General features: G+C 37.9%; 1 annotated feature.

Annotated features, from left to right (window-relative positions):
* Positions 500 to 1,310: an enhancer, noted in NCBI's record as "H3K27ac-H3K4me1 hESC enhancer chr21:16698845-16699655 (GRCh37/hg19 assembly coordinates)". NCBI's record gives its function as "activates a minimal SCP1, AML or CMV promoter by ChIP-STARR-seq in naive H9 embryonic stem cells {active_cell/tissue: H9 hESC(naive)}" and the evidence as "EXISTENCE:reporter gene assay evidence [ECO:0000049][PMID:30033119]".

The raw sequence follows: 24,044 nt of genomic DNA, 5'->3' as shown, positions 1-24,044 counted from the left end.
GCCTTGGCTCAGGGATCTCCCAGGTCTGGGCTCCCTGAAGGACTGCAGCTCTTCTCTCCTTCTCTTCTTCTGCAGCATGGTGAGCAAGGGGCATGTTTAGCTCTGTTTGTGTTACAGCTCTGTTAGTCTTCCATTTGGAAGTTCCTGAGTTCTTGTCCTGTAACCAGGAAGAATGAGGTACACAGACAAGTGGAGGGTGAGCAAGACAAAGAGGAGCTTTACTGAGCAACAGAACAGCTCAGAGGAGACCTGCAATGGGCAGCTCCTTTTTATAGCCAGGGTGTCCCCAACAAGTGTTCAGCTCATAGCAGACAGGGTAGCTCCTCTCTGCAGGCAGATCACCCAAACAAGTGCTCAGTTCTCAGCAGAGAGGATAGCTCCTCTCTGCAGCTGATCATCCCATCATCTGCAGTTCTTTGCAGAGAGGAGGCCCTAGAGTGGGTGGCTCACCTCTGCAGGCAAGTCGTCCAGTCATCTCTGCAGCTCTCAGCAGAGAGGGTAGCTCCTCTCTGCAGCTTGTTGTCCTGTCCTCTCTCCACCCTCCACTCAGCTCTGGCTGAGCCTGGGGCTTTTATGGGCCTCAGAGGGGAGGAAGTGCATGCCAACTGGTCCATGGGAGGCCAGACGCAGGCCTAGTAAAGGCACCGTGAGTTCCCACTTTGTTCCACAGGGCTAACAGCCCAGGCCCCAGACTTCAAGCCCTACCTGGCCTGAAGGTGGGGCTTCACTAGGGACCTACCCTCTTCTGCCCAGGAGCCTGTCTAGCTCCTGCCCCCATCCATGGCACCCACACTGCTCACACCCTGGGGTGCCTGAAGGCCAGTGCTGAGCTGCCCTTAGTTCCCCATTGGCTTGCCCTGCCTCCCCTGCACTCATCAGTGCTCAAAATATGGAGGGAGTCTAAGATGGCAGGGACCTGGCATGTCAGTGCTGCCCTGAGTGTGTGCACACCTGGCCAGGCTGTGACAACACCCGGCCTTGGCCCCAACTTTAATCCAAGTTTGGTGCAGGTGCCAGGAATGGGGAGAGCCAGGCAGAGGGAGCAGAAACACCCAAGCCTGTGGGGGTAGCAGGGGACCTTCCCAGGCCCCCAGGAGTTCAGACTGCAGTGAGGCTCTGGTCCTGCCTGGCTCGCAGCCCTGCCATGGGGCACCTCCAAGAGTGGATTGCAGGCCTCAGGCCTGGACATCAGGAGTATCAGGCCTGAAGATCACCCCAATGCCAGGTGGACCCTGGGGACATGGCCCCAGGTGGCCCTGCACAGAGCCTGCTCCTGAGATGGAGAAACCCAGAACCCTTGGAATGGGCACAGTGACTGCACCACTGGCCAGGTCCCCCAAGCAGGGCATATACAGCCCAGAGAACCCACACTCTTTGTGCAAGCAGGGCACTGTCCTGTGCCCAGCTTCACCTCAGGGCCCCTCTCTGTCCAACCTGCTGCTTCACAGCTGGTGGGCAACTCGACCCAGCCCCATTGTGATGGCCCCCAGGGCAGTGGGTTCCAGGAACTGTCCACCTCTTCCGACACCCTCCCTGCAGTGGCAGCAGGTGAGATTGGCAATGCTGGGCCAGGGTCTGGAGGAACTGAGGCTCTGGGCCTGGAGGTGGGTCCCGCCTGGCCACACGAAGGTGGGGGCAGCCCAGTTGGCTGCCTTGGGGATGCAGGGCACAGGGGACGCAGGGCACAGTGGTCCCCCCACAGCCGATCCCACCCCCTATGCTTGCACCTCTTCACTGCAGCAGGCATGGTGGTAGCGGCTGCTCCAGACAGCCTGCTGCTGCCATCAGTATGTTTGTCTGCAACTTTAAGGCCAGTCTATGTAATATGATTCACAAATTCAGTGACTGATGAAGAAAAAAATGAGTTTATTTATATGAGTATATATATAAAACAAATATTTTAAACCATCTTTTATTCAGGGTTTTTCTTTGATTTTTTCTAAACTATTTTAAATCAGATCTTTAAATTGCCAACACATGTGAACAATAGATTTGCACTTACCAATACCCAAACCTAAAAACAATGTAAGACGTTTTTGAAAGCAAATTTATTTTTATTTTTAATTTTATTTTTCATGCTGACTTGAATAAATTAAAATTCATTTTACCTATTTTCATGTTCTCCGATAAATGGTGATGACTTGTCCAATAAAAAGAGACTGGTTTATTCTAAAATTACAGTAGAGTTAATCTTTGTGGGGCCAATCAGAAATTCAAATTAATCAAAATATTAAAAGAAGTTCATAGTATTTTTATAAAAGTGTACTTTTTCAATGATGAGTTAAAAAAACAACTGTTTTTCCTCATTTCATAAATTGATGTGATCTCAATGTATTAATTTTTTATTAGTTATATTAAGCAATGTCAGGTTTAATGAATATTTGCCAATCTCCACATTGATGCTTAGAGAACCATCTCTTACCACAGATACAGGATTCTAAGTTTTTTCACTCTTATCTAGTTTATTCTGCTTGCCTATATGCCAAAGATGTGATCTTGAGGTTTTATTAGATATTTGATTGCTTTGTTGGAAATGACCTTCAGCCTCCACATGAGATGACCCTCCAGATACATCTTTTCTTGAGCATTATGTCTTATTTCAACTGATCAGCACCAAAGGTTAGGTTGTCAGGGATGAAGGAGAGTATTTTTCCTTTTTATTCTGAAACCACTGGTAAAATCCCTGATTAGTTTATGACTGAGTTCAATAGTCTCACAGGGCTGTTGGGGGAAAATCCAGCTTGTTTGATTCAGTAAAGGGCAATGCCCTATATACCCGTTTCATTTTATTGCTTATTGATTTGATGGGCAATGATGTTCATGTGCATCTTTTACTTCTATGACAATTGATTTTAATAACATATTGTGCAGCACAACATTTCATGCTAAATATGGTGGAACTGCAAATTAGGACATGTGGAATTCTAAGTTGTTATTGTGTTAATAATTTTTATTAAAACGGCAAAGGACCTGTTTATAAATTTGGAATACAATGGGAGCATTAGGACATCCACTGTCCCATCCTCCCTTTTGGAATAAAAGCAGGATTAGCTTCGTGGGGTTAAAAGGTCAGAACACAAGGTCATCCTTTTTGTCAATATTCAAATGGAAAGCTGATTCAGACAGAAAGATACAGCTTAATGGACCAATGAACTCAGTCAGTATTTTGCCAAGAGTATTTTCAAAGTTGAAGGCTGATCTCTGAAAATGTTAACACCTTCTTTTCTAACATTTCCTAATTCAAAACAGGCTACATTTACTCCCTTGATGAGCACCTTAAATAGTATTATTACAAACCATGCCAGTTTAGTAGTGACTGCGGAATTGACAGTTTATACCACACATTTCCAATGATGAAAGTTACAGAAGCCAGGGTAGATGAAAAATTTTTGAAAGTTGAAACCTCCTACCTTCAATTTCAGATTTATGCAGTGGATAACAAAAGTCATATTATAGGCCATATTTTGACTCTACAGAAGATGTGTTGAAAATTGCATAGACTTAGGTACATATTTTCAAGGACTTCAATCACTGAAACCTAAAACTGAACAGCAAGATCATAAAGGTCACCCAGGAATACTTTAACAGGCATCATTAAATGCAAACAAAATACAAAAAGACTATCTGAAACATAAATACCCTCTTTTACTGTAACATTTTCCATAAAGCATCCAACTTTCATCTGGGAGTAAATGACTAAGTATGAAATATTTTTGTGACAATTCATCTATTCTTTAAAATTATAGAGACAACATGATGTTTGTTAAGAGCAGACTCTGCAAGCATGAGCAATTTTTATCAAATTAAAACTTACAATAGTCAACAAAGCACATTTAATCATATGCACATTGTTATTGTCAAATGAAAAAACAACAAACTACACAGCATTTACATAAATGACTATTAATTTCATACAGTCAAACCTTAAATTTTCACTTTCCTCCTTTCCACAGTTAGTTCTTCTACTTCTGTAATCAGGATCAAGGTGGAGAGGAAACCATTTAGTTCAGTCGTCACTGTAGGTAGACACTCTCTCACAGACACATGTTGTTCAGAGATCTGACCTCTCTGGCCCCAGGCTGATGGTCTCTGACTCTTGCCAGTACCCTTTCACCTCTCCAGTCCTTTCTCAGACTCCAAGAACCCACTGGGTCCTCAAACAGCTCATGCAGCTGCTCCTTCTGTCCCCTGACCTTTCCTGCTCCCTCTCACTCCTAGAATAGTTTCTCTACATTCTGGAGGGCTTGTAGTAACTAGATATCTGGACATTTAATGTTTTTTTTTTTTTTTTGTAACTCCTTTAGGTAAAATTATCAATTCTATTTATTAAATAGAATGTGGATCATGATATTAGAAGATATAAGCATTTTCTCATGACTAATGAATTGAATAAATCAGACTCACCCTCAAGAACAGCATTCATATAGCATGACTTCATTGGTTAAGGGAAGATCTGACAAATACCCCCTTGGTGGCTGGTGTCTGAAATTACTTTAAGGAGAAAAAGCTACTCTATAAATGAGTTAAAGTTTAAAGAATAAAAATAGCACTATAAAGCAAAAGGACAACTGATTGAGATCCGATCTTCTCTCATGGGCGTAGTAAGGGAGGTAGTAAGACGGAGGATGGCTAAACTACAGGAGACGTTGGAAGAGAGCAACTCTGGAAAAATTTTGGTTCATGGCAGCCTAGTTTAATATTAATCATGTTGGAACTTAGAAAGGGGCATTACATATTCTATTTATTTCTGGGAACAATAGTTCTGCACCATGTTGAGAAGGCCATTCAATATTATTATTTTACTTAACCAGTTGTATAAGGCATCTTATTTTGTGCAAGCTCCAAATTATTCTACACTTTTGGTTTTAACTGCCTCACAGTATTTCACTCAGTTTTCGACAGATGTTTATAAAATACCTACCTAGTGTCAGCCACTGCAACAACAGCTGAGGAGGAATAAAACAAATCACATATGTTAAAGTGTGTGGAGTCTGCTAGAAATTCTACTTTTTAAGAGTTAAAATTTAAAAAAAAAGTGGCAAATGGTATACTGCTGTATGTAGTGTGGAATAGAGAAGAAAGAAAAATGTGCCTAAATTTGACTTTCTGAGGTGAAGGAAGCTAATAGAGGTGCTATATGACATCCTTTATTCATTCAACAAATGAATATATTGGAGGCAAGGTCTTGCTCTGTCATCCGGGCTGGAGTGCAGTAGCACAATCTCAACTCACTGTAGTTTTGACCTCCTGGGTTCAAGGACCCTCCCACCTCAGCCTCCTGAATAGCTGGGACTACAGATATGTGCCACCACAAGCATATAATTTTTTAAAAATTATTTTTTGTAGAGACGAGGTCTTACTATGTTGCCCATGCTGGTCTAGAGCTCTTGGGCTCTCAATCTTCCTGCCTCAGCCTCTCTAAGTGCTGAGATTACAGGTGTGTGCCACCACACTTGGCCCACTCAGCAAATATTTACCGAGTACCTACAAATACCAAGAAAACACCAGTAAGTACAGAAGGTACCATTGTGGGCAAAATGCAAGCAAAAATCTCTGCCCCCATAATACATATCCTCTAGTGGGCAAGAAATTAATCAAGATAAATAATATATGATATATAAGAAGTGAGAATAAAAGATAAAATAGAGATCACTGTAAACAAAAATGAATTAAAAACTTAAAGACCTCGAACTATAAAACCACTAGACAAAAACACGAGAGAAATGCTTCAGAACACAGGTCTAGGCAAATATTTTATGGCAAAGATATCAAAAGCACAGGCAACACAAGTAACAATAGACAAATGGGGCTATACTAAACTGAAAAGCTTCTGCATAGTAAAGGAAACAATCGACAGAGTGAAGAGACAACCTGTAGAAAATATTTGCAAACTATTTATCCAACAAAGAACTAATACCCAGATTATACAAGAAACTCAAACATCTCAACAGCAAAATAAATACATAATCTGATTAAAGGGGGGAAAGAATCTCAATAGACATTTCTCAAAAGAAGATATACACTTAGCCAACAAATATATGAAAAAAAAAGTTCAACATCACTAATCATTGGGGAAAAGCAAATCAAAACCAAAATGAGATATCATTTCACCCAAGTCAGAGTGGATATTATCACAAAAACAAGAAATAACAAATGCTGGGACTCATATATTATTAGTGGGAATCTAACTTTGTACAGCCATGATAGAAAACAGTGTGGAGATTTCTCAAAAAGCCGAAAACAGACCTACCTTATGATCCAGCAATCCCATTACTGGTTACTTATCCAAGAAAAGGAAATAAGTATATCAAAGGGATGCGTGCACCCACATGTTTATTGCAGCACTATTCACAATAGCTAAAATATGGAAAATATGGAATTAAATGTCCACCAACAGATGAATGAATAAAGAAATTGTGGTATATATACACAATAGAATATTATTCAACCACAAAAAAGAATGCAATTCTATCATTAGTGCCAATGTGGGTGAGTCTGGAGGGCACTAATCTAAACAAAATAAGATAGGCACAGAAAGATAAATACCACATGTTCTCACTCATATGTGGAAGCTATGAAAGACAATTTGAGCCCACAGAAGTGGAAAATAGAATTGCGAGTATTAGAGGCTGAAAAGAAGAGGGGAGAGGGTAGGGCGAGGAGAAAACAATTAATGGGTACAAAATTACATCTAGATGTGAGTAATGAGTTCTGGTGTTCCGCAGCCTTGTAGGGTGAATATGGTTAACCATAATTTATTGTATATTCTCGAAAATCTAGAAGAGAGGATTTTGAATGTTCACAATGCAAAGAAATGGTAAATATTTGAATTGATGGATATGCTTATTACCCTGATTTGATCATTGCATACTGTACACACATATCAAGATATCACTCTGTATTCCCCCAAAACATGTATAATTATTATGTATCAACTAAAAATAAAAGGAATAAAATAAAGCAGAGGTGAAGAGAATGAAATGTTGAAATGAGTGACATTTTTTGTAAGATGTTCATGGAAGATTTCCTTGAGAAGATGAGTTATGAGGAAAGATCTGTTTGGGGAGAAATTTGCCAAGTAAATGAGAATTTGGAGGAAACACATTTGGGACAGAGGACTTGCAGCATAATGTATGTTTAGGGAATAGCAAGTTGTGGAGCTGAATTGTGTGTGTGTGCGTGCGTGCCCTTGTACTGTTGACAAGAAAAATAAAGGAAAGGTTGGATTGGGACCAAGGTGTGAGGCACTCTGCACACTTTGTTAAGGAATTTGAGCCTTATCCGGACAATGAGACTACATCCTAAGCTTTAAACATCGTAATGATAAGCCTTATGAATCTGGAATGTTGGCTAGAGCAGTATCACTATGGCATTGGGGCACGAATAGCATTAAATTGTGTATAACCTTAAACAAACCAAGACCCTAAACAAACCAAGATCTACCCAAGCAGTTGTGAGCTCTCCTTGCACTCATGTATGTTGATTTCATTTTGTACATAGATGACAATGGACAGAGTTACTGATGTGCAAGAGAAGAGCAAATGAGAAGGTGACACCACAACCCAAAGAGGTGCTAAATAAGGGAATCTTGTGAAAAGGAGAAAACAGCTGGGTGATAAACATTTAAGAACATTTTTAGATCTAGTCCATTAGTTATTACATACATAGAAATATTGATATTTTTTATTTTATCTACCTGCTCTTTAAAGTGTTTTTGAAAACAACAAAATTGTTTTGTATTTTTAAAGTAGCAGTTCTCCACGCTGGAGTTGCAGACTTGGAGGGATTTCCAAGACTTTCCCAAGGATCCACAAACTAAACACTGTTTTCATAATAATATTATGAAGCCATTTGTCTTTCTACTGTGTTGACATTGGAACTGACGGTGGAAAAGCAATCACGCTGTTACCTTCGTATGAATGGAGGTAGCGGCACCGGACTGTAACAGCAGTCATTGTAGTCTTCACTGCCGCAGCCTCATAGGGAAAAGAAAATTAAAAAGCTGACTTCACATAAGAATCTCTTTAATTAAGCATTATTTTCATTAAACCTTTACCTGTGAATACACTTTAAAAATTTTGTGTGATGAAAATGTACTTACATGGGAAATACATGTAAAGTATGTTTGCCAGTGTATGACAGTTCTCATGAGGAAAATGTCATTTGTGTTACAAGCTGAATGAGCCACTTTTTTTTGCTATGGAACACCATCTCTACTTGTGAAAATGTCTATGGTTATTGAGACTTGCATATTTAGCAGAAATGTTATTTAAAAATAATCAAAATGAGCCGGTTATTTACTTCAAGCAAAACAATTGTTAGGATTTATTGCCAATGATAAAATTTTAACTTTCAAGCAGAAATTAGTATTTTGGGAAACTTCTATCCACCTCCTCGAGCTTGACATCTTCTTAATACTTAAACAGACTCCTCTTATGAAATTAGTGGTGATATTAACAAATGTGATTTTTTCAATACTGTGTAAAGATCATTGAAAGAACTACATAAATCAATAAACCAGTTGTTTTTCAAATGGCCAATGTCCATGATGTTATAAAATTAAGGCAGGAATAAAAGATCCATTGAAAGCATAAGACAGAGAGATTTTAGTACTAGCAAGTATGAAAAACTCACTGCCATGATTTCAGATGTTTTAAAAATAAGGCAGGAATAAAAGATCATTCAAAGCATAAGACAGACAAACAGATTTTAGTATGACCAAGTATGAAAAATTCACTGCCATGATTTCATACGTTTTATTGCAACTAACCTTTAAGGAACTATTAGTTATTGGCTGGGTGTGGTGGCTCATGCCTGTATCCCAGCACTTTGGGAGGCTGAGGCAGGCAGATCACTTGAGTTCAGGAGTTTGAGACTAGCCAGTCCAACATGGCAAAAGCCCACTTCCAGTAAAAATACAAAAAAAAAAAATTAGCTGGGTGTGGTGGTGTGTGCCTGTAGTCCCAGTGACTCAGGAGGCTGAGGCAGGAGAATCGCTTGAACCCTGGAGGCGGTGGTTGCAGTGAGCTGAGATCATGCCACTGCACTCTAGCCTGGGCAACACAGTGAGACTGTCTCAAAAAAAAAAAAAAAAAGAAAAAAAAAGAAAAGAAAAGAAAAGAAAACAAACTATCAGTTGTTAATTTTGAGTGTAGCATCAAAGAATAATATCCACAATCTTCTGAAAAAGCATTAAGATACTCTTCCCTTTTCTAAAGTATTTATCTGTGAGGCCATATTTTTTTCATGTACTTTTACCAAAGCAACATAATGCAGTACTCGCAGGGCAAACGCAGGTAGGAGAATCTACCTGTCTGTTATTAAGCTAGACATTAAAGAGATTGGCAAAAATGTACAATGCCAATTTGTTTGTTGTTTTAGGAAAAATGAATATTTTTCATGAAGTTGTTACTTATGTAATAGGTCTATTGTTATCTTAACTCAATGAATACAAATTTTTTTTTGTTTTAATTTATAATATGTAAAATACTAACAGATATATCTAGCATAAAAAATGAAATAAGATTTGTCAGATTTACCAAATAAAAATACAAGACACAGAATAAACTTACATTTCAAATAAATATGAATACTTATTAGTATACATGAGTCCCATGTAATACTTGGGACATACTTGTGTTTTTAATTCACTGTTTATTTGAAATTCAAATTTACCTAGTCATCCAATATTTTATCTAGCAAGCCTACTTGGGAGTTCTCAATAATTTGTAATTGTATAAAGGAGTCCCAAGACCGTGGTTTGAAAACCATGCTTTAATTCATTCTCTGGGTTACCCTTTTTCCATTTTCCATTTCTTTTTTCTTCTACTTATTCAGAATCAGTGAGGTCTAACTACAACTAATTACTATACATGCCTTATTACCTCTAGACTTCATTGCTATTGAATCTTTTGTTTTCGCAGTCAGTTCTAGAAACAGCTTATTCATCTATGTATATTTTGCTCAAGTAGAAAATGAATGTGTTGTAGTAGCATAACTGATAAATTTATTTTAAGTTTTATAGCATATTTCATGGAGAACAATGGTGGACCTATATGCATGCATGGTGTGAAACCATGTTGGAGATGCTCTTATTAAAATATTAAATATGATGAAATAGCTCCTATATTCTCTTTGTATAGCAATATAAAAATGAAGTATTTGGTCTAGATGCCTAAAAATTTGTGATTTTAGAAAAATGTTCCAGAAAGAGAGCATGATGCAATGTAATATGTCTCAGAGATATGATATCAGTTTTTTGTTTAATGCTTGCAAGTACCTTGCCTGTCCTGGGTTGACTAAATGACATATTTGCACTGCAAATAGCACTTATGGAAAAACAACAGACTTTGAAATGAGATGCTAGTTAAAGATGTATAAAACTGAACCCATATTTATTAAACAAATTAGTTGTATATGTTAGCATGTTGTATTAGTTCGTTTTCATGCTGCTGATAAAGACATACCCGAGATTGGGCAATTGACAAAAGAAAGAGGCTTATTGGATTTACAGTTCCACATGGCTAGGGAGGCCTCACAATTATGGCAGAAGGCAAAGGAGGAGCAAGTCACATCTTACATGGATGGCAGCAGGCAAAGTGAGAGCTTGTGTAGAGAAACTTAAAAACCATCAGATCTCGTGAAACCTGTTCACTATCACGAGAACAGCATGGGAAAGACCTGCCACCATGATTCAATCATCTCCTATGGGTCCCTCCCATAACACATGGGAATTATGGGAGCTACAAGATGAGATTTGGGTGGGGACACAGAGCCAAACCATATCATATATAGAAACCATACCTGTGTCCTTTGCAGGGACATGGATAAAGCTGGAAACCATCATTCTCAGCAAACCATCACAAGGACAGAAAACCAAACACTGCATGTTCTCCCTCATAGGTGGGAATTGAACAATGAGAACACATGGAAACAGGGCAGGGAACATCACACACCAGGGCCTGTCGGGGGCTGGGGGCCTGGGGGAGGGACAGCATTAGGAGTAATACATAATGTAAATGATGAGTTAATGGGTGCAGCAAACCACCATGGCACATGTATACCTATGTAACAAACCTATACGTTGTGCACATGTAGCCTAGAACTTAAAGTATAATTAAAAAAAAAAAAAAAAAAACGAAAGGAAAGAAAAGAAACCATACCTGTGAAGAAATCAGTGGCCCCCAGTGATTTTTTCAGAGGAAAAATAAACAAATTCAGAGTGCGACACACCCTTGAGTACTACGGCACTGATATAACAAGATCTTATTCCTAAAAATAAAAATGTGACTTTTAAACAAAGCTAAATTCATTTAAAAGTGTGACCTAAAGATTTTATATCTACAGAAAAAAGTATGCATACATACAGAAAAATATTAACTGCAGTTATTGTGGGAGATTAGGATTATAGAGAACTTTGTATTTTGTATGCATCTATAAAATAGATTATTTATCTCTTTGGACTACATTTAAAATCTGAAAGAAGCCGTCAAGATAACGCATTTAAAAAATTACCTTTTTTTTTTTTGAGACAACGTTTCACTCTTGTTGCCCAGGCTGGAGTGCAGTGGCGTGATCTTGGCTCACTGCAACCTCCGCCTCCTGGGTTCAAGCGATTCCCCTGTCTCAGCCTCCTGAGTAGCTGGGACTACAGGCGCGTGCCACCATGCCCGGCTAATTTTTTTGTATTTTAGTAGAGACCAGATTTCACCATGTTGGCCAGAATGGTCTCGATCTCCTGACCTCGTGATCCGCCCACCTCGGCCTCCCAGAGTTTTGGGATTACAGGCGTGAGCCACGGCGCCCAGCCAAAATTACCTTTCTTTTAAAAAGTGAGATCAGACTTCATAAGCTACTCTTTAACTTGTGTTTAAAATGTGTCTTAGATCTCTTTCCATGTCAGTATCTACATCCATATCTTTTAATTGCTACATAGCAGGATATACTAACATTTTTACCCTTTCTCAAGCACTTTTTGTTGCTATTTCTAACAGTGCTGTTATAAACATGATTATGCAAATCTTTATGCCACTGTAGGAAGCTCACAGGGCAGAGGGTTAAAATAAAAAATTGTTTTGGGGTAGTGGCATGGATGGAAAGGAAGCATGCATACAATTATTTTTATTTGTATATCATTTTGTGGCACTTATACGAGGACTTTCTCTTCCTGATAGCTCACGGAAGGTTTGGAAACACCAAAGAATTTGTCTTAATGGAACCTGTCTTTTCGTTATTATGCTGTGTCCAATACCCTAAATTGCTTTATACAACATCCATTCTAACCTACCGGTAACATGAAGCAGCTGGAAAGTTAAACTACATTTCTCAGACACATTGGAGGCTAGAACATGATTTACGTTCCTTCATACTCCTGCAAGAATGTTTAGAATCTGAATCAAACAGACGAAAAAAGCCAAGTTTGAGGCATATATTTTGCTGGCGAGGATCAAGGCCGAGGTGGCAGCTAGCAGTGACTGCCCAATGTGGTAGGTGGATTCCTGATTCAGCAGCTTCCTGGAGCAGACTTGGCATATTTCTGGATCATGGCAGAGTAGCCTGGGACTGAAGTCAGCAGTATTAGCAGCAGATTCATAATCTGTCAGATTCCTGCATCTGTGGTGGTTGTTTACCTGCTGAAGGCAAAGGCAGAGTGTTTCTGGGAGCTACTATTTGTTCCTGAGTATTAAGAATAGAACTGTTCTTCCATTTCTTCCAATAAATTTGTTGGTTTTGAATACTTAAAATTTCTTGTTATTTAAATAATCTAAAACTATGGCCCATAGGCCAAAGCTAGCTCACTGCCTGTTTTTGTATAGCTTACAAAATGGTTTTTACATTTTTTTTTTTTTTTGAGACGGAGTCTTGCTCTGTCACCCAGGATGGAGTGCAGTGGCGTGATCTCAGCTCACTGCAACCTCCTTCTCCCGGGTTAAAGCAATTCTCCTGCCTCAGCCTCCTGAGTAGCTGGGATTACAGTTGTGCATCACCACACCCAGCTAATTTTTATATTTTTAGTAGAGACAGGATTTCACCATGTTGGCCAGGCTGGTCTCGAACTCCTGACTTCATGATCCACCCACCTCAGCCTCCCAAAGTGCTGGGATTACAGGTGTAAGCCACTGTGACCAACTACATTTTTAACTGATTAGAAAAGAATGAAAAGGGCCGGGCGTGGTGGCTCACGCCTGTAATCCCAGCACTTTGGGAGGCCGAGACGGGCAGATCATGAGGTCAAGAGATCAAGACCATCCTAGCTAACACTGAGAAACCCTGTCTCTACTAAAAATACAAAAAAATTAGCCAGGCGTGGTGGCAGGCACCTGTAATCCCAGCTACTCTGGAGGCTGAGGCAGTGGAATGGCATGAACCCGGGAGGCAGAGGTTGCAGTGAGCCGAGATTGTGCCACGACACTCTAGCCTGGGCGACAGAGTGAGACTCTGTCTCAAAAAAAAAAAAAAAAAAAAAAGGAAAGAAGAAGAATATTCTGTGACATGTAAAAATTACATGAGATTCACATTTCAGTGTCCATAAATAAAGTTGTATTGGAAGACATCACTTTGATACATTTGCACATTAGCTATCCATGCTTTCGCACTAAAACAACAGAATTGACAAGCTACAACAGAGACTATATGCCCACAAAGCCTAAAATATTTATTATCTGACCTTTTACACAAAAAGTTTGTCAGCTCTTGATATAGAATGAACACTCTCGATTCAACTGAACGCTGATTACTATAGATGCCACTGTATTAAGGCATGTAAGAACACAAAGGCACAAATTATAAACAACACATTAATTACATTGAAATCGAAGTCGCTGATATCTTTTCTATTTCTCATATCTAGTTATGTCATAAAATTTTCACATTGAAACAATAATCCATAAAGTGACAAAGGGTTTACAAGTGATGGTAGCCATTAGCACTGTTCACCAGTGATTTCTGTTCCTACTCATGGGCTTATGGCAATATTGTACTTCTACACCCGGTTGATATTAGATATGACCATGTGACTTGCTTTAGCAAGTAACATTTGAGCAGAAAGAATACATCTCACATCAAAGCAAAAGTTTAAGAGCCAGTGTGAGTCTTGCTATGTTCTCTTTTTCTCCTGTCATGGTTATTTATCAGCAACTTTGTGAGACTCCATCAACCAAGATCTCTGTCTAAGTCACTATGATGAATTGTAGCCCCTCAACTCTCATGCACATAGCATGAGTGAGAAATTAATTAACTTTTGTTGTTTTAAGGGAACAAGGTTTGGGGGCATTTGTTACTGCAACATAACCAAACTATCCTGACTAATACTTCATTACATAAATTGTGATGAAGTTTTAAAATCCTGTAAGTTGGATATGTAAAATACAAACATGCTTTTTCTATTTCTAAAAAAATGACATGCTGATCAGAAGATCCCATTCCCACAGATAGGGGGAAAATATTAAAACTTGCCAATAATGAGTAACTTTTTTCTGTTATTGTTTTCAATAAAGAAATTAAAAGTGTTTTTGTTGGGTAAAGAAATATTCAGCACATCCAAAATTTAAATCCTTATCAAGGATATTTCATTACTGTCAACAGATGTGTACTTCCCTTCCTTGCCAAGCTGGCATCTAAGTGAACGGGGATTCCTAAGGTTTATAGGGGAGGGGTGGGACTGTAGGTATATGTCCTCTTCCCCAAGTGTTTTTGCTTCAGATGGTTGCCATGTGTTGTGTATTCTTTTCCCTGGGCAGCTGGCAACAATGAGACTAGATGGCTGTGTTCATTAGATCTTGGGGCATGATACTGGCACTTGCTGTTGAACTATGTGAAGGTCACTATATGCCACAGTATTCTTGTCCTGACTCCAGGTTCTCTGATTCACTCAGCTCTTCCTTACTTCCATGTGGAATTCTCAGTTGCTTTATCTCACTCTCACCTGAAGTGCACAGAGCTCAGGGAAGCTTTTTTGAAGGTCATCTTTCTTGGCTTTTTCTAACCTACTGCTTGGTGTCTTGTTGAAAGTAGCCCTCAAAAGACAGCTTCTCTAAGAGAATTGCCATTTTTTCCACGACATGTCTAGGATTCCCCAAAGCCTATATGAGTATTTCTATGCCCTCAGGTCTTTGGATTTGAACCAAAGGGAGGAAGCAAGAAAGCCCACATGTCTTACTCCTGCAGTTACCTTTCTCTGGCTCTCACCCTCCCCTTTATCTTCTGGAGCCAGGGGATCTTTCCACTGCCTCTCCCAGCTGGTAGGAGTTTCTCCATGCTCATTCTTCTTCATTTCTGGGTATTCATCCTTCCCTTCTCTATTGCAGTATAGCTGAAGGGCCACAGGGCATAAATGTGGCTACCAGGAGGAGAATATTACTTCAGAAGGTATTTCAAAAATGTTATCCTTATTATGTTACTATCTGTATTAGGCCATTCACATTGCTATAAAGATACTACCTGAGACTGGGTAATTCATAAATAAAAGAGGTTTAATTGACTCACAGTTCCACATGGCTGGGGAGGCCTCAGGAAAGTTACAATCATTGTGGAAGGTGAAGGAGAAGCAAGCACCCTCTTTACAAGGCAGCAGGAGAGAGAGAGCGTGGAGGGGAAACTGACACTTTTAAAACCATAATATCTCATGAGCAGTCCCTCACTATCGTGAGAACAGCAGGGAGGTACTGCCCTCATGATCCAATCACCTCTTACCAGGTTCTTCCCTTAATACGTGGGGATTACAACTCGAGATGAGATTTGGATGAGGACACAGAGCCAAACCATATCACTTTCCATAGGCCCAAAAATTAAGAAAACACAAATACCATATATGTTTAAATATAAGATTAATTTTTTTAAATTATGGCTTAGAAATAAGAAAGTCATCTGAAAGAATTTTGATGTTAAGTAGTACCCTAGAATTTTAACAATAAATTTATATTTGGGAAAGATCCATTAACCTCAAACACTTATGTGATTAAATTTTTTAAAAGAGGCAAGTAAATAAACTTATTTATACTTAATAATTATTCCTGGAATATGCCATGATAATCACAAGTTTTGGATATAAACATACCTTTTATGTATCACTTTAAAAAGTAAAGTAGTGATGACTAAGTTGTCCAAATAATAACTACCCAGTGAATATTTGTGGCTTGGGGTGAAACTCAAAGTGATCACCTTTCCAGCAAATTGTAAAAAAGCTGTATCTCCAACAACTTATATGGAAGGTAAGGTCATAAGCTCTTTGGTTTAGAAGACTCAAAAAGTCTTCCAGTTACAGCAAAGATGCTGAGGTCTAAAGGATACTTAAAAAAATACCTTTTATTATATGCAGGCATTATAAAGTATTTATGCAAGTGATGAGGTTTCATATAGTTGCTTCCCAGAATGGAAGCAAAAAAATAGCAACAAATGTTCATTAATGTATCATTTAAAATAATATGTGATTTTTAAATTGTGTGCAGCCAAAACAGATGTTCCTTGCCCTATGATGGAGCTATATCCTGATAAACCCATTGTAAGTTGAAAGTATTAAGTCAAAAATGAATTTAACACACCTAACCCACTCAACATCATAGCTTTGCCTAACCTATATTAAATGTGCTCAGAACACTTATATTAGCCTACAATTGGGCGAAATCATCTGACACAAAGCCTATTTTATTATAAACAGTTGAATCTCTCTTGTACACAGTACTTTGCCAAGGTAGAGGCGGATGAAATTTCAAAATTTGAAGTAAAATTTCTTTTGAATGCCTATAGCTTTCACATCATCATGAAGTCAGAATGTCATAGGTGGAATCATCATAAGTCAGACTGCCTGTAATTAAATTTCATAAAAAGATCTTTAAGCCACATCTCTAAAATTATGTATATTCAAGTTAGCCAACAAAACAAAACAAACACACATAAAAAAATCTCCTTTTAGAATCCTCTCTTGGGAAAATGGGGGATCATTTTATACTCAAGTTCGCTTTTGCTTAGTATTCAATACATTACAGAATTTTAATTCTCTCTGACCAATATTTTTCTGCATGAATGTAGCTCCTACTACTTAGGAATAACTATACTTTTTTTCAAAGTTCTCAAATTTCTGTTCTGATGAGCCTTCTGTAGTTAGCAGGTTTATACACATTTTTTGAAGTTTTCATAATATCTTTTATTTACTAAATTCCAAGCTAACATTTCCAGCATCTCTTAGCAGCATTATGAGTAACTATCACCTAATGAAAAAAATCCTTTCTCATTGGATATTGCTATTCCTCTTCTACCTATTCTCAGACCCCAAACTAAATCTCAGGCAATTCCAGTATGATATTCACTGGACCCCAACTGGTCTCTGTTGGACCTGCCTTTCATAAAATTACAGTGACCTCTCTTTTCAGAATTTATCCCAAAGATTATTTTTTATATCATTTGACAAAAACAAAGAAGCTCTTCCGTTTGAAAATAGAAACTATTCTACAGCAGATAAAGAGAGAGGAAAAAATGCAAAAAGAAGGAGAAAAGACAACAAAAAAATGAAGAGTATGAAAGGCCCTGTAGAAAGCTAAGGGAATTTGGTGCAAAACCAGCTTGCAGTGTCTAAAAATGTGATTCCAAGTTTGGAAGCACTTTCATTTTCCAGAAATGGCAAATTTCTGCTTGAAGAGGTCTTACAAAAATTTTTTAAAATATTCTTAATTACCAATCTGAAATAAACCTAGAAGAAAGTAATATGTATTTCCTAAATTCAGGAACTCTTTTTAAAACTGTCCATCCCCACAGTTCTTTCTACTTTTTAAAAGAACTTTCCTATGTTTTATTTTAGAATAGACAAAGGGGATATTATCTCTTCGTTTTCGAAGAAAGCCAAAGACAAAATAGGTTCAGTGACTTGCTCAGGATCGCACAGCTAAGCCAGAGGCAGAAGGAGGACTGGACCAGGCCCAAGATCCTCCCAGCATCACTGCACTGCCAGCTTCAATTATGTAACAAGTCTCCCAAGTTCTCATCTGGATTCAGCAATGTTAGCAGGAGGGATGCCCAGTAACAACCCTCATCTAGTATTCTAAGTCACCAAGGCAAGGTGGCAATAATTTAACCTCAGCAATTTTTTCCTTCTTACCTTTAACTCAAGAGATGAATACATTATTCCAAGAAGCAATTGCCCCATGGCTAGTATTGTACATTACACTCTAAAGGCTGATGGTTGATTACAAGTGGTTGCTAATTTGGGCCCAATGAATGGGCTCGAACCCAGTAATCATATGGTAGTTTCCCATGCAGCAGAATCCAAATCTACTTTCTTTTCCTACCTTTTCCCTCTGTGCTAGTGTGCACAAGTGCACCAATCTAGTGTGCCAAAAGCAATCTCTTTGTGTGTGCTGAATGGATTTCTTACCCTCTTAGCAAGAGCAACTTCTACACCTGGGCACAGACCAAAAGAAAGTTGCCTCAGCAAATTTTTAGTCATTTTGGATTTAGGGATTAAGAAGATCTGATCATGTTTTATTGTGTTCTCTGTGACTAATAGCTAATTTCTGGAATTAACCACAAAGGAAAGAGAAGAAAACGTGGCTCTAGAGTTTTTCATGCCATTGTGGATATGGTTTTGAATGTCTTGACAAGTTTCCGAGGTCTTATTCACATTATAAATCACTCTGCAACAGTTCACGGAGTATGTTGATACTTGTTGGCAGAGAAGGAGAATATTCAGTTACAGGAAGCATTTCCTAGTGATGTGTGAAATATGTCGTGGAAAATCATGACTAAACAAATGTGCTACCTTGGTCACTGAGAGGTGGACATTTGTATCAACTGGGTTGATCAACTTCACTCTCTCTTGACTTCAACAAGGCTACACTCTTCGGGTTGTCCTGCTTCTCTAACAGCTTCTTAATTTCCTTCTATGATTCCTCTTCCCCAAAAGGAGATAGCGTTCTCCAACATTCAATCTTCAGTGGTCTCTCCACTTTGTGTCCCTCATACTTTATCCTCTCAGAGCTGTTATCTGAATGGCCATTACCTTCAATGGCTTAATTTTAAGCCTTCTAAGAAAGCATTAGAAATTTAGTCAAACTTTACTGTTAGAATAATCTCTACATCTAAATTCTCCCTCAAACAATTTTCAAATGGATATTTCTCCTTCAACCGACTGCTTTGGTATTCAACGTTACTAAAATGTATCATTTTTAGACATCACTGTCTCATCTCCTATCCAAACAATTTTCTCCCCAACTTCCCTAGCTCCACTAAGTTGCCTCTCTGCCTTCATTCTTTCCCTGGAAAAGCAGCCAGCATACTGCTGCCAGATTCATCTGTCCAAAGAACAACCATTAGCCTGCTAAAAACCCACAAAATGATCATCTTGCGCTCATAACTAGGACTATTCAGCCTGAAATACAGAACCTGCCAAAATCTGGTCTCATCCTGTCCTTGCAAACTTACCTTTCCTTGCTGTTTTAGGGACTCTCTACTTCTGTCTCCTCAGAGTTTCCAATACATTTTGAACTTTCAAACCCTCTCTCTACCTTAGTTCATCCTGCTCTCATTGCTGGGAACTCCCTTTCTTCATTCTTTCCTGATATTTAAATCTCATCTCTCCCTATTTTTCAGGGCCTAGACAAACCCCATCTCCTTTGTCAGGACTTATTCTGATCATCCAGTACAAAATGACCACCCCCTTCTCTGCCTTCCTCAAATTTTGTGGCCTGCACCTCTTCTCTTTTCTTTTCTTTTCTTTTCTTTGCTTTGCTTTGCTTTTCTCTTTCTTTCTTTCTTTCTTTCTTTCTTTCTTTCTTTCTTTCTTTCTTTCTTTCTTTCTTTCCTTCCTTCCTTCCTTCCTTCCTTCCTTCCTTCCTTCTTTCTTTCTTTCTTTCTCTCTCTCTCTTTCTTTCTTTCTTTCTCTCTCTCTCTTTCTTTCTTTCTTTCTCTCTTTCTTTTTTGGAGACGAAGTCTCACTCTGTTGCCCAGTCTGGAGTGCAGTGGCGTGATCTCAGCTCAGTGCAATCTCCACCTCCCAAGTTAAAGCAATTCTCCTGCCTCAACCTCCCAAACAGCTGGGACTACAGGCATGTGCCATCACGCCCGGAAAATTTTTGTTATTTTTAGTAGAGACAGGTTTTCACCATGTTGGCCAGGCTGGTCTCGAACTCCTGAATCCAGGTGATCCACCCACCTTGGCCTCCCAAAGTGCTGGGAATACAGGCGTGAACCACTGCACCCGGGTCTGCACCACTTTCTAAGCACTGATTACTCATAGCCTCATGTTGTTTGTTATAATTTTATTTATTGTCATATCATCTCCATTAATAACTCATATGACTCCTAAGGGCCTATGGTACCAAACAACTTATGTATCTTCGCATTTATAATTTTTCCACAACAAAAACATCAGCAATTTGTTGATATTCATTATTATTACTATTATAACAAACAATATTCAGAAAATGTGTTATAGACACGCATACATTGAATTATGTGTATACATGGCTGTCAATGAATTACAGTCAGATGAAACCCGAATACAAGCAGAGTTGGCAATTGTATGGAGTGGAAAGATAAAAATTTTAAGGTCCAGCATAATCAAAAGTGAGCATAAAAGAATAAATCAGACAAAAACTATTATTTTACTTCTTATAATGCATATGAAAGAATTACAAAGGGAAGGGGGTGAGAAAGACTTTAAAATGCCTTGGGGTGCCCAGGGGAATTTTCTTGCTAAAATAATGGCAAAGATGAGAAAGACAATGCCACATTCCTAGCAATCAACCCAAAGAAATGGTAAAAATGTGATACTATGGAAGCAATTTTATATTTGTAAAAGTAATAGATGCTTGCTTATGCAGCATGGTGGAAATTTGCAAACTTATAAAAAGTGCATAGAAGTAGATTATTTAGTGTTACCTGTATTTTTCCTCAGTAATATCTATTATTCTGTGATTTCAAGTCTGTATTTTCCCTGCCAATCTTACTGACACCTCTTCTGGATTTGTTGGCTCAAACATATGACTTAAATTCACCTCATATTAGGTCATCAGTCTATTTCACTGGATCCATCTCTTTTGCAAAGTAAATGAAATGTGTACTGTTAAATGTTTTTACTATTGCCATGGAAATTTCAGCTTCAATGCTACTAATGTCTTGTGATTTTTAATTAACAGATCATTTGATATTTATAAATATGTGTATGACCTTCCCAATATCATTTTAATTGATTTTGTTTAAATAGCTTTATTTCTAAAACTGCAATCAATATGGTTCCTAGAAAAAGGAAGCAGACCAAAAATACTGGATGTAAGCCATTTTACAAGATGTCTTTCTGTTCAAGCAAATTATATAGAAGAAAGATGACCTTTTAGTTATGCTATTCAATTATTTTCTACTATACTAAATATATTTCAGTTTTTTATAGTTATAAGGCAGTCTTGCTTAGGTCATTCCAATGAGTTCTCTAACACATGCTCAAGAAATACTTGCAAAACTAACTCGCCCCTGTTAATGAAAACAAAAGCTATTACTGTAGGTGGCTTCGATCCTAAGCACATGGAAAACAGATTATTTTTTAAACATTTTTATTATAGGTCAGAGTCATTTTTTGTAAGTACATTTATCTTAAAAAACAATGCTCATTTGAGTAACCATGTCTGAGTACATACTGGAAAGGATATAAACAGGAGACATCACTTCCAAAGTAAAAATTCACATTTTATAGTTCCTTTTGGTTGGTTTCATGTGTTTTTCATGTCAATGGAAAGTTGTATTTGTGGAGAACTCTAGAAACAATGAATTATCAACTTCAGGTAAGATGAAATGCTGAGAAAATAGCCAGTATAAACATCCCACAATTTCATGGGTTATCTATCCCCCCAAAAAAATTTTCTCAAATAAATCATTCATATTTAGGTCAGGGGTGTGCAGGGAAGACGAGAGAGAAACTTGGAGGGACAGGAAAGAGGAGGATCTACTCATATGACCTTTGGGATACATGGCATATTGATTTTCGGTCAACTCGGGTTAATGGTAGTACACTAGTCTATTGAATACTACTAGCAGATGGACCAAATATTACAGATGGGTAATGAAAAGAATTGAGTATGACTTAGAGGGGTGTTAGGGGTACTGCGAAAATGTAAATGAGTCTAGTACATTTTGTAGACTAAAATGAATTTTGCTGAGCCTCGTGATCTTCAAAAACTATTTGTCCATCTGAAATAAGCAACTTTTTTACACTTTTTTGGAAATATATTTAGGGGCTAAAGTGCAGATTTCTTACATGTGTATATTGCATAGTGGTGAAGTGTGAGCTTTTAGTGCATCCCTCACCCAAGAAGTGAACACTGTACCCAATAAGTAATTTTTCAAACTTCACTTCTTTCCCACCCTCCTACCTTTTGTAGTCTCCGATGTCTGTTATTCTGTTTAAAGATATGCTTTTAAATATCCTTATTTTTCAATGCTATATTAGGTTATGAAAATTTTCTCTATTTAAAAAATCATCCAGTGACAAAAACAAATGAACAATTAAGTCACAAAAAGGTATAGGGTACTGTTACATGCATGGCATTAAGTGAAAGAAGCCAGTCGAAAAGGCCACGTACTATATGATTCCAAGGATATGACATTCTGGAAAAGGCAAAACTGTAGAGACAGTGAAAGATTAGTGGTTGTTAGGGGCTCAAGGGGAGGGAGGGAAGGAAGGGATGAACAGGTGGATCACAGAGGATTTTTAAGGTGGTGAAATTATTCAATATAAAATGATAATGGTTAATACATATCATTATACATTTATTAAAATCGTAGAACTGTACAATAAAAAGTGTGAACCTTTATATAAACTGTGAACTACAGTTAATAATGTATCACTATTCATTTATTAATTGTAACAAATGTACTAGACTAATGCAAGATGTTAATAATAGGGGAAACTCTTGTGGATGGGAAGAGTATATGGAATCCTATGTACTATCTGCTCAATTATTTTGAAAATCTAAAACCGTATTAAAAATAAGCCTATGAATTATTTTAAAAGCTATTCTCATATGTTTAGTTCCCATGACTTTTTGTTAAAATAAGAATGGGGGTTTTTCCCTCAAAGAAAACAAGTATTTTCTCTTTATAGGTTAAAAAAAAAAAGTTTTCACTCTTAATATTGAAAAACATTTAGGTATGCGTTTGTTTTTACCATTAATTCAGTAGTTCAAAGTGACTAATGCTTTTGTTTAATGCGAAATCACTAAATTTTTGTAGTTAAATAAAAAAATAGTATGATAGTATATGTGTAATTCTAGTGAACTATAAGTTGTCTTGGGCATTGAGATATTGAGATTCCAGTAAGTAAAAGGTTAAGACTCCTACGTTGTACATTTCTCAAATATATCCCACCCCTGAAGTATTAGGGATTTCCCAAAAAGGTTAAACTGTAGCTTCCTAGTGGCTGAGGTCAGAGAGAGAAAAAAGCAGCCTTTGAAACAATGTGTGCTCAATATTTAAAGTCTGTTGAGCCAGTTGGCTATGAGGAGGAGGGAAGCGCATTCACCTTTTGTCTTCTTTATGTTATGGCTTCTGATTGTTCTTAGCAATCCCAGATGTTCCTTGCTTTAAACCTCTTTCTCTCCTCATTCCTAACCTTATGTCTTCTGTATTTCTTCTGGAAAGGTCTGTGGAATTGCCTTTCCCATATGTGCTGGGATTAAGTCTTTAATGATGTGTTTCCAAATGACCACAGCCCTTTACTCTAAGACAATAAAAGTGTTTTCCATCTTTCCTAGCCTCACTCTTTAAAAGATTACCTATAATGACTTAATTCATATTCCGAAAATAATTAAAATAAGGTCACCCTAGGATAAACTAATGCTGTGATGTGTGTGGTTTCACTTATAGCATCTCACTTCAAAGGTAATAAATGTATTTTTTAACTCTTAATTTTTAATACACTGTTAAAATTATTATACATGCCAGAATTTCCAATATGGTTTTGATTTTAAATATGAGATATTTCCATGCCTACATAAAGTATCAGTCAGGCCTTCAAAGTTGCAAAATTTTAGCAAATAGTGGATAAGTTACATAAGCTCATAAAT

Source organism: Homo sapiens, chromosome 21 (genome assembly GCF_000001405.40).
Source record: "Homo sapiens chromosome 21, GRCh38.p14 Primary Assembly".
NCBI classification, from domain to species: Eukaryota; Metazoa; Chordata; class Mammalia; order Primates; family Hominidae; genus Homo; species Homo sapiens.
Note: the sequence above shows the minus strand (reverse complement) of the source record. Positions and strands in the feature narration are given on the sequence as shown.